Source organism: Homo sapiens, chromosome 9 (assembly GCF_000001405.40).
Source record: "Homo sapiens chromosome 9, GRCh38.p14 Primary Assembly".
In the NCBI taxonomy this organism is placed as follows: Eukaryota; Metazoa; Chordata; class Mammalia; order Primates; family Hominidae; genus Homo; species Homo sapiens.
In genome coordinates this window covers 97332351-97344739 of record NC_000009.12, presented here as the reverse complement: position 1 = coordinate 97344739, position 12389 = coordinate 97332351, and the positions used below count along the sequence as shown (strand labels likewise).

General features: G+C 40.8%; 1 protein-coding gene and 1 long non-coding RNA gene across 5 annotated transcripts in view; both read right to left on the bottom strand.

Annotated features, from left to right (window-relative positions):
• SUGT1P4-STRA6LP-CCDC180 (SUGT1P4-STRA6LP-CCDC180 readthrough) overlaps nt 1-12389 on the bottom strand; it is a 138870-nt gene that overhangs the window by 32556 nt on the left and 93925 nt on the right. For all 3 annotated transcript variants that reach the window (NR_036528.1, NR_036527.1, NR_036529.1), the window contains one exon: nt 1177-1400. This is a non-coding gene — a long non-coding RNA (SUGT1P4-STRA6LP-CCDC180 readthrough). The remainder of the gene's footprint in view (nt 1-1176; nt 1401-12389) is intronic.
• Nucleotides 1-12389, bottom strand: part of CCDC180 (coiled-coil domain containing 180) — a 71415-nt gene that overhangs the window by 34012 nt on the left and 25014 nt on the right. For both annotated transcript variants that reach the window (NM_001348010.4, NM_020893.6), the window contains one exon: nt 1177-1400. In NM_001348010.4, the coding sequence (NP_001334939.2) occupies nt 1177-1400 (224 nt within the window). The remainder of the gene's footprint in view (nt 1-1176; nt 1401-12389) is intronic.

Genomic DNA, 12389 nt, shown 5'->3' with positions numbered 1-12389 from the left:
CCAATCAGTTGGACAGATAATTTTTTTTCTGGTTAGTCATAAGGCAGATAGCATAGTGGTTGGTGCAAGATTCTGGAGTTACAGGGTCTGTCTGGATTCATATCTGGGATCAAACTGCTTCCTGTCCTGGATATCTAGGCCAAATGACTAACTCTCTGAGCCTCAGTTTCTTCATCTGTAAAATGGAGTTAAGTATGGTAACTCTCTCACAGTTATTAAGGGGATTAAATACACTCAGTAAATAATAGCTCCTGTGATAGTCCTTGCTGGCCTTTGTCCTATCTGCTATGGAGAGGGCAGATGATGGCCTCTGGTAGAGGAAGGAGAGGGATGATGTTTGAGTCAAGAGACATTTCCAAGGTGAGATGCTGCTCAGGTGTAGGAGAAAGAGCCCAAAGGCCTGATTGCACTCCTTTCATTCCTTGTCTCCAGCCTCCTGCCCATGTTACATACAGGAGGTGAATGAACCAGGAGATCTCTAGCTGATGAGCCCTCCTATGACATTGTAGAGGCAGGAGGACAATGAGAACGCCATCCAAAAGGCAAACACAAATGTCCACATTTGATCCAAACTCAAACACAAAGGCCCAGAAACTTGGGAGTTAGGGGAAGTAAATTCTCAGTGGTGGGATTATGGGTCATTTCTCTATTCTTCATTGTTCTTATATTTTCTGCAAAAAAACTCTTTGGCAGTATCTTTTGGTCATGTCTTCTAGCGATGGACATGGATATACTCTATGAGTGAACAGTTCCATTCTTATATTTTGCACATACTGAGTACAAAATACCATACATGAGATATTTATATTTATGGTGTATATCTATAGAATTAAAATAGAAAAAGAAAAGAAGCCTATGATTACAGATGTACCAGGAACTAGAACCCAAAAGTATCTGTCAGGGAAAACACTGTATCTTATCTCCAAGGCCCAAGCCAGCAGAGAGCCTCCTGAGGTGGGTGCAGGGGGTCACTCTCACAGAAGATATCTGTGACTGCAAATAATTCCTGGATTTTGCCATTTTTTATTGTGTTTCTCACCCCTACCTTCCTTCAGTTACCTACATTTTTTTCTTTATCCAACTGATACCAGCCCAATCCTTTTTTTTTTTTTAATATTTCACCTTGTTTACAAAACTCAGAACAACAGGATGAGAATAAAATAGTTTTTTACTCACTGTTTCTTAATTTCTAAAATTAGTCTCGATGGAATTGTCACTTGTTCTATGAACTTGGCACTGGAAGTGTCGTTGATGAACATGGCTGAGAAGGTGGAATGGGACTTCCTACAATGCTCTTCTTCCAGGGGTACAAAGACAAAATAAGTGTTTCCACTGGAGATTGTGAAGGACTCCATGTCCTCATAGTATATCTCCTCTAGACCCTCTTCCTTGTCTTCTTCCTAAGCAGGCAATAACACTAAAGTTGACTTGATATCATCAAATGGACTTGGGAATGCCAACCACAGGTTCCTTGATATCAGAGGTTGTAAACCAAATTTTGGGCCAAGATTATGGGCCGAATCTTGCCTAGGTTTTTTCGCCCCCCACACAGTGCTTTTAAAATTGGGAAGTTCTACACAAAAATCTGGGTTTCTAATTTCTCTTAAAACATCAGAAAATATGTCAATTCTGAGCCTGCATTCCCACATGGCATCTTTAGTTGGAGCTGAGTAATGCCTGCACCAGTCTTCATCATTTGTCATTATTTTACACTTGGTCTCCAGCCCTCTTTTCTATTACATACCTGTGGGCATTTGAGTTTGGGATTCCTGCTCAAAAAGAAGTCTACAATTTTTCCACAGCAATATACAAAATGATTCTTCTGCAATTCTATGATTATGAAATTCAACTTATTGTTCTGTGATTTTGAATATGTTTTGAGGACAAGATTTATTTTATGAGAGTTACTTCCCTGCACTCAAAGGAGAGCTCTGTCTGCCAGCTTGAATATGGAGCTTTTGAGAATAGGAAAAGAGAAGAAATAAACAGACCAAGGTGAAGCAAGAGAGTTTAAGTTGATCTATTCAATAAAGAGGAATTGAGAAGGAGAGAGAACCAGGGAGGCATAAGGAAAGCCATACAGTTGAAGGTTGAAGAGTGACTTTAGAATAGGTTGCAGGGATATGAGGAGAGGAAAATGAATTTTAGAAAGCATTGCTGTGGCTGGGTGCAGTAGCTTACACCAGTAATACCAGCACTTTGAGAGGCTGAGGCAGTGGATCACTTGAGGTCAAGAGTTCGAGACCAGCCTGGGCAACATGGTGAAACCCTGTCTCTACTAAAAATACAAAAATTAGAGGTCTGTTCCAAGATGGTTGAATAGGATTGGGAGGCTGAGGCGGCAGATCATTTGAGGTCATGAGTTTGAGACCAGCCTGGGAAACATGGTGAAACCCTGTCTCTACTAAAAATACAAAAATTAGAGGTCCATTCCAAGATGGCCAAATAGGAACAGCTCCGGTCTGCAGCTCCCAGCACGATCAACGCAGAAGATGGGTGATTTTTGCATTTCCAACTGAGGTACCTGGTTCACCTCATTGGGACTAGTTGGAAAGTGGGTGCAGCCCACGGAGGGTGAGCCGAAGAAGGGCGGGGCATCGCCTCACCCGGGAAGCGCAAGGGGTCGGGGGATTTCCCTTTCCTAGCCAAGGGAAGCCATGACAGACTGTACCAGGAAAATCAGAACACTGCCACCTAAACACTGTGCTTTTCCAAAAGTCTTGGCAAATGGCACACCAGGAGATTATATCCTGCACCTGGCTCAGCAGGTCCCATGCCCACAGAGCCTTGCTCACTGCTAGTCTGAGATCGAACTGTGAGGCGGCAAGCCTGGCTGGGGGAGGGGCATCCACCATTGTTGAGGATTGAGTAGGTAAACAAAGCGGCCAGGAAGCTTGAACTGGGTGGAGCCCACCTCAGCTCAACGAGGCCCACCTGCCTCTGTAGACTCCACCTCTGGGGGCAGGGCATAGCTGAACAAAAGGCAGCAGAAACTTCTGCAGACTTAAATGTCCCTGTCAGACAGCTCTGAAAACAGCAGTGGTTCTCCCAGCACAGTGTTTGAGCTCCGAGAATGGACAGACCACCTCCTCAAGTGGGTCCCTGACACCCGTGTAGCCTAATTTGGAGACACCTCCTAGTAGGGGCCGACTGACACCTCATACAGCCAGGTGCCCCTCTGAGATGAAGCTTCCAGAGGAAGGATCAGGCAGCAATATTTGCTGTTCTGCAGCCTCTGCTGGTGAAACCCAGGCAAACAGGGTCTGGAGTGGACCTCCAGCAAACTCCAACAGACCTGCAGCTGAGGGACCTGACTATTAGAAGGAAAACTAACAAACAGAAAGGAATAGCATCAACATCAACTGTAGGGTCCAGCCCCACAGGGTCGGTGGGTCTCTCCCCGTGTGCGGAGAGGAGAGAGTGTAGAAATAAAGACACAAGACAAAGAGATAAAAGAAAAGGCAGCTGGGCCCAGGGGACCACTACCACCAATGTGCAGAGACCGGTAGTGGCCCTGAATGTCTGGCTGCACAGTTATTTATTGGATACAAAGCAAAAGGGGCAGGGTAAAGAGTGTGAGTCATCTCCAATGATGGGTAAGGTCACGTGGGTCACATGTCCACTGGACAGGGGGCCCTTCCCTGCCTGGCAGCCGAGGCAGAGAGAGAGAGGAGACAAAGAGAAAGACAGCTTACACCATTATTTCTGCATATCAGAGACTTTTAGTACTTTCACTAATTTACTACTGCTATCTAGAAGGCAGAACCAGGTGTACAGGATGGAACATGAAGGCAGACTAGGAGCGTGACCACTGAAGCACAGCATCACAGGGAGACGGTTAGGCCTCCGGATAACTGTGGGCAAGCCTGACTAATGTCAGGCCCTCCACAAGAGGTGGAGGAGCAGACTCTTCTCTAAACTCCCCCGGGGAAAGGGAGACTCCCTTTCCTGGTCTGCTAAGTAGCGGGTGTTGTCCCTTGACACTTTTCGCTACCACTAGACCATGGTCCGCCTGGCAACAGGCGTCTTCCCAGATGCTGGCGTCACCGCTAGACCAAGGAGCCCTTCTGGTGGCCCTGTCTGCGCGTAACAGAAGGCTTGCAATCTTGTCTTCTGGTCACTTTGCACTGTGTCCCCTCAGCTCCTATCTCTGTATGGCCTGGTTTTTCCAGGTTATGATTATAGAGCGAGGATTATTATAATATTGGAATAAAGAGTAATTGCTACAAACTAATGATTAATGATATTCGTATATAATCATATCTAAGATCCATATCTGGCATAACTATTCTTGTTTTATATTTTATTATACTGGAACAGCTCGTGTCCTCGGTCTCTTGCCTCGGCACCTGGGTGGCTTGCCGCCCACAATCAACAAAAAGGACATCCACACCAAAACCCCATCTGTAGGTCACCATCATCAAAGACCAAAGGTAGATAAAAACCACAAAGATGGGGAGAAACCAGAGCAGAAAAGCTGAAAATTCTAAAAACCCGAGCGCCCCTTCTCCTCCAAAGGATCACAGCTCCTCACCAGCAACAGAACAAAGCAGGATGGAGAATGACTTTGACGAGTTGACAGAAGTAGGCTTCAGAAAGTTGGTAATAACAAAATTCTCCGAGCTAAAGGAGGATGTTCGAACCTAATGCAAGGAAGCTAAAAACTTTGAAAAAAGATTAGACGAATGGCTAACTAGAATAAACAGTGTAGAGAAGATCTTAAATGACCTGGTGGAGCTGAAAACCATTGCACAAGAACTACGTGACGCATGCGCAAGTTTCAGTAGCCAATTCAATCAAGTGGAAGAAAGGGTATCAGTGATTGAAGGTCAAATTAATGAAATGAAGCAAGAAGAGAAGTTTAGAGAAAAAAGAGTAAAAAGAAACAAACAAAGCCTCCAAGAAATATGGGTCTATGTGAAAAGACCAAGTCAATGTTTGACTGGTGTACCTGAAAGTGACAGGCAGAATGGAACCAAGCTGGAAAACACTCTTCAGGATATTATCCAGGAGAACTTCCCCAACCTAGTAAGGCAGGCCAACATTCAAATTCAGGAAATACAGAGAACACCACAAAGATACTCCTTGAGAAGAACAACCCCAAGACACACAATTGTCAGATGCACCAAGGTTGAAATGAAGGAAAAAATGCCAAGAGCAGCCAGAGAGAAAGGTCGGGTTACCCACAAAGGGAAGCCCATCAGACTAACAGTGGATCTCTCAGCAGAAACCCTGCAAGCCAGAAGAGAGTGGGGGCCAATATTCAATATTCTTAAAGAAAAGAATTTTCAACTCAGAATTTCATATCCAGCCAAACTAAGCTTCATAAGTGAAGGAGAAATAAAATCCTTTACAGACAAGCAAATGCTGAGAGATTTTGTCACCACCAGGCCTGCCTTACAAGAGCTCCTGAAGGAAGCACTAAAATGGAAAGGAACAACCGGTACCAGCCACTGCAAAAACATGCCAAATTGTAAAGACCATCAATGCTAGGAAGAAACTGCATCAACTAATGGGCAAAATAACCAGCTAACATCATAATGACAGGATCAAATTCACACATAACAATATTAACCTTAAATGTAAATGGGCTAAATGCCCCAATTAAAAGACACAGACTGGCAAATTGAATAAAGAGTCAAGACCCATCAGTGTGCTGTATTCAGGAGACCTATCTCACGTGCAGAGACACACATAGGCTCAAAATAAAGGGATGGAGGAAGACTTCCAAGCAAATGGAAAGCAAAAAAAAAGCAGGGGTTACAATCCTAGTCTCTGATAAAACAGACTTTAAACCAACAAAGATCAAAAGAGACAAAGAAGGCCATTACATAATGGTAAAGGGATCAATTCAACAAGAAGAGCTAACTATCATAAATATATATGCATCCAAAACAGGAACACCTAGATTCATAAAGCAAGTCCTGAGAGACCTACAAAGAGACTTAGACTCCCACACAATAATAATGGGAGACTGTAACACCCCACTGTCTATATTAGATCAACAAGACAGAAGGTTAACAAGGATATCCAGGACTTGAACTCAGCTCTGCACCAAGCAGACCTAATAGACATCTACAGAACTCTCCACCCCAAATCAACAGAATATACATTCTTCTCAGCACCACATCGCACTTATTCCAAAATTGACCACATAGTTGGAAGTAAAGCACTTCTCAGCAAATGTAAAAGAACAGAAATCACAACAAACTGTCTCTCAGACCACAGTGCAATCAAATCAGAACTCAGGATTAAGAAACTCACTCAAAACCGCACAACTCCATGGAAACAGAACAACCTGCTCCTGAATGACTACCAGGTAAATAACGAAATGAAGGCAGAAATAAAGATGCTCTTTGAAACCAATGAGAACAAAGACACAATGTACCAGAATCTCTGGGACACATTTAAAGCAGCGTGTAGAGGGAAATTTATAGCACTAAATGCCCACAAGAGAAAGCATGAAAGATCTAAAATTGACACCCTAACATCACAATTAAAAGAACTATAGAAGCAAGAGCAAACAAATTCAAAAGCTAGCAGAAGGCAAGAAATAGCTAAGATTAGAGCAGAACTGAAGGAGATAGAGACACAAAAAACCTTTCAAAAAATCAATGCATCCAGGAGCTGGTTTTTTGAAAAGATCAACAAAATTGGCAGACCTCTAGCAAGCCTAATGAAGAAAAGAGAGAAGAATCAAATAGACTCAATAAAAAATGATAAAGGGGATATCACCACCTATCCCACAGAAATACAAACTACCATCAGAGAATACTATAAACACCGCTATGCAAATAAACTAGAAAAACTAGAAGAAATAGATAAATTCCTGGACACATACTCCCTTCTAAGACTAAACCAGGAAGAAGTTGAATCCCTGAATAAACCAATAACAGGCTCTGAAATTGAGGCAATAATTAATAGCCTACCAACCAGAAAAATGTCCAGGACCAGATGGATTCACAGCCGAATTCTACCAGAGGTACAAAGAGGAGCTAGTACCATTCCTTCTGAAACTATTCCAATCAATAGAAAAGGAGGGAATCCTCCCTAACACATTTTATGAGGCCAGCATCATCCTGATACCAAAGCCTGGCAGAGACACAACAAAAAAAGAGAATTTTAGACCAATATCCCTGATGAACATCAATGCAAAAATCCTCAATAAAATACTGGCAAAACGAATCCAGCAGCACATCACAAAGCTTATCCACCAAGATCAAGTTGGCTTCATCCCTGGGATGCAAGGCTGGTTCAACATACGCAAATCAATAAACGTAATCCATCACATAAACAGAACCAAAGACAAAACCCACATGATTATCTCAATAGATGCAGAAAAGGCCTTCGACAAAATTCAACAGCCTTCATGCTAAAAGCTCTCAATAAACTAGGTATTGATGGAACATATCTCAAAATAATAAGAGCTATTTATGACAAACCCACAGCCAGTATCATACTGAATGGGCAAAAACTGGAAGCATTCCCTTTGAAAACTGGCACAAGACAGGGATGCCCTCTCTCACCACTCCTATTCAACATAGTGTTGGAAGTTCTGGCCAGGGCAATCAGGCAAGAGAAAGAAATAAAGGGTATTCAATTAGGAAAACAGGAAGTCAAATTGTCCCTGTTTGCAGATGACCTAATTGTATATTTAGAAAACCCCATTGTCTCAGTCCAAAATCTCCTTAAGCTGATAAGCAACTTCAGCAAAGTCTCAGGATACAAAATCAATGTACAAAAATCACAAGCATTCTTACACACCAATAACAGACAAACAGAGAGCCAAATCATGAGTGAATTCCCATTCACAATTGCTACAAAAAGAATAAAATACCTAGGAATCCAACTTAAAAGGGATGTGAAGGACCTCTACAAGGAGAACTACAAACCACTGCTCAAAGAAATAAAAGAGGACACAAACAAATGGAAGAACATTCCATCCTCATGGATAGGAAGAATCAATATCGTGAAAATGGCCATACTGCCCAAGTTAATTTATAGATTCAATGCCATCCCCATCAAGCTACCAATGACTTTCTTCACAGAATTGGAAAAAACTACTTTAAAGTCTATATGGAGCCAAAAAAGAGCCTGCATTGCCAAGACAATCCTAAGCAAAAAGAACAAAGCTGGAGGCATCACGCTACCTGACTTCAAACTATACTACAAGGCTACAGTAATCAAAACAGCATGGTACTGGTACTAAAACAGAGATACAGACCAATAGAACAGAACAGAGGCCTCAGAAATAATACCACACATCTACAACCATCTGATCTTCAACAAACCTGACAAAAACAAGCAATGGGGACAGGATCTCCTGTTCAGTAAATGATGCTGGGAAAACTGGCTAGCCATATGTAGAAAGCTGAAACTGGATCCCTTCCTTACACCTTACACAAAAATTAATTCAAGATGGATTAAAGACTTAAATGTTAGACCTAAAACCATAAAAACCCTAGAAGAAAACCTAGGCATTACCATTCAGGACATAGGCATGGGCAAGGACTTCATGACTAAAACACCAAAAGCAATGGCAACAAAAGCCATAATTGACAAATGGGATCTAATCAAACTAAAGAGCTTCTGCACAGCGAAAGAAACAGGCAACCTACAGAATGGGAGAAAATTTTTGCAATCTACCCATCTGACAAAGGGCTAATATCCAGAATCTACAAATAACTTAAACAAATTTACAAGAAAAAATCAAACAACCCCATTAAAAAGTGGGCAAAGGATATGAACAGACACTTTTCAAAAGAAGACATTTATGCCGCCAACAGACACATGAAAAAACGCTCGTCATCACTGGTCATCAGAGAAATGCAAATCAAAACCACAAAGAGATACCATCTCACACCAGTTAGAATGGCAATCATTAAAAAGTCAGGAAACAACAGGTGCTGGAGAGGATGTGGGGAAATAAGAATGCTTTTACACTGTTGGTGGGAGTGTAAACTAGTTCAACCGTTGTGGAAGACAGTGTGGCGATTCCTCAAGGATCTAGAACTAGAAATACCATTTGACCCAGTGATCCCATTACTGGGTATATACTCAAAGGATTATAAATCATGCTACTATAAAGACACATGCACATGTACGTTTATTGCGGCACTATTCACAATAGCAAAGACTTGAAACCAACCCAAATATCCAGAATGATAGACTGGATTAAGAAAATGTGGCACATGTACACCATGGAATATTATGCAGCCATAAAAAAGGATGAGTTCATGTCCTTTGTAGCAACATGGATGAAGCTGGAAACCATCATTCTGAGCAAACTATCGCAAGGATAGAAAACCAAACACTGTATGTTCTCACTCATAGGTGGGAATTGAACAATGAGAACACTTGGATACAGGGTGGGGAACATCACACACCAAGGCCTGTTGTGGGGTGGGGGAATGGGGGAGGGATAGCATTAGGAGAAACACCTGGTGTAAATGACGAGTTGATGGGTGCAGCAAACCAACATGGCACATGTATACATATGTAACAAACCTGCACATTGTGCACATGTACCCTAGAACTTAAAGTATTAAAAAAAAAAGTTTTAAAATAAAAAAAGAAGAAATGGGAAAGAGTTTTTAATAGAGCAAAAGAAGGAAGAAAGCTAACATGGAAAGTCTTACTTTCAAAAAATAAAACAGGCTGGGTGTAAAAATGTGTGAGGGACTGGTAATTTCAATACAATATTACATAAGCTGAGATTTAATTTAATGAAATGTACCTGCTATTGTATCCAGAACAGTACTAGACATGAGAGAAATGTTTAAAATTTAGACCTTCTCTTCAAGATATATAATCTCTCTGAGAGAAGTGTGCATTCATGGATAACCATTCAAAGTAAGCTGCTAAGACAACAGAGAGTTGCTTCGGAGGTGTACATAATTCTACCCTTTGAAACTTTCTTGGTGGCACTGTTAAAGATGAAAGTCTAACGAGTAGACTATGTTTGGCCCTATGATTTTGTTCCTTATGTTACCATATTCTCAATGAAAACTATAAATAATGTAAACTATAATTTTCTGTTTCCCTATGACTCGACATTTCATCAGTGGGAAAAAATAGCCTATATAGGAAAACAGGAAACGTTAGCAAAAATGCAACTTAATATTATAAGGACATACATAGCCCTAAAGGGACATGTAGCAGAGCATAAAGGTGTATGTACTGGAAGGCCAGCATAGTAGCATTGGTTTGAGAAGGCAGTTAGCTTAGTGACAAAGAAGAACATGGATCCTGGAGTCAGGCTACCAGGGTTTGGAGCTTGGCTTTGGCATAGAAAAGTTGTTTAGCTTTGATAACTCTCAGATTCGTTGTCTATACAATGAGGATAAATGTAGTATCAACCTTACAGATTAGTCATGCAGATTAAATCATGTAATCCATGTAAAGTCCACAAAATGCCAGGCACATGACAAACACTCCTTAAAATACTGGCTATTGCTAATAACGGCTCCCTAGGGCTAAGTCGTATAATATAAAAAGAGTCCCAGCTTTTCCATTAGTAGCTGAGTGAGTTTGTGGAGTCCCTTATCTCTAGGATAGGAGCATTGTTTTGCATGCTTCTAAAAAGAGAATAATTAATAATATTTGCCTCACAGTGAAAATTTTACTGGGAAACAGAATAAGAACATGTATGCAAAAATACTTTGTAATAAGTAAAATGTTAAACATATATGGGTTATTATTTCACTTAACAATTCCCTTGTTCCCCCTTTAAAGAAAAAAAAAATACAAAAATTAGCCGGGTGTGGTAGTACACACCTGTAGTTCCAGCTACTTGGGAGGCTGAGGCAGGAGAATCACTTGAACCTGGGAGGCAGAGGTTGCAGTGAGCTGAGATCACACCTCTGCACTCCAGCCTGAGTGACAGAGTGAGACTCCATCTCAAAAAAAAAATAATTAAAAATGTTTTAAAAATGAAAAGCATTACTCTGAGTAAAGAATTGGATCACTGTTAGCAAAAAATAAAAAAGTATTAATACATTATCACTGACCCCGCAGAAATACAAAAAAAAACTCCAACAGCCATCAGACTACTATGAACACCTCTTTGCACACAAACTAGAAAATCTAGAAGAAATGGATAAATTCATGAACACATATACCTCCCAAGACTGAACCAGGAAGAAACTGAATCCCTGAACAGACTAATAATGAGCTCCAAAATGGAATCAATAATAAATAGCCTACAAACCAAAAAAAAAAAAAAAAAAAAAAAAAACCCAAACCCAGGACCAAATGGATTCACAGCCAAATTCTACCACATGTACAAAGAGCTGGTATCACTTCTGCTGAAACTATTCCAAAAAGTTGAGGAGTACAGGCTCCTCCCCAACTCATTCTATGAAGCCGGAATCACGCTGATGCCAAAACCTGGCAGAAACACAACAAACAAAGAAAATTTCAGGCCAATATCCTTGATTAACATTGATGCAAAAAATCCTTAACAAAATACTAGCAAGCTGAATCCAACAGTACATCAAAAAGCGAATTCACCATGATCAAGTAGGCTTTATCCCTGGGATGCAAGGTTGGTTCAACATTTGCAAATCAGTAAATGTGATTCATCACATAGACAGAACTAAAAACAAAAACCACATGATTATCTCAATAGACACAGAAGAGGCTTTTGATAAAATTCAACACCCCTTCATGTTAAAAACCCTCAACAAACTAGGCATTGAAAGAACATACTTCAAAATAGTAAGAGCCATCTATAACAAACCCAGAGCCAACATACTGATTGGGCAAAAGATGGAAGCATTCCCCTTGAAAACCAGCACAAGACAAGGAGGCCATCTTGCACCACTCCTATTCAACTAGTATTGGAAGCCCTGGGCAGAGTAATCAGGCAGGATAAAGAAATAATAGGCATCCAAATAGGAAGAGAGGAAGTCAAACTATCCTGTTTGCAGATGACATTCTATAGCTAGAAAACCCCATGGTCTCTTCCCCAGAGCCCCTTGATCTGATACACAACTTCAGCAAAGTTTCAGAGTACAAAAGCAACATACAAAAATCAGTAGCATTCCTACACACCAACAACATCTAAGCCGAGAGCCAAATCAGGAAAGCAATCCCATTCACAATCACCACAAAAAGAATAAAATACCTAGGAATACAGCTAACCAGGAGGTAAAAGGTCTCTACAATGAGAATTACAAAACACTGCTCAAAGAAATCAGAGATGACCAAACAAATGAAAAACCATAAACATCCCATGTTCATGGATAGGAAGAGTCAATATCTTTAAAATGGCCATACTGCTCAAAGCAATTTACAGATTTGATGCTATTCCTATCAAACTACTAATGACATTCTTCACAGAATCAGAAAAACTATTTTAAAATTTATATGCAATAAAAAAAGAGCCT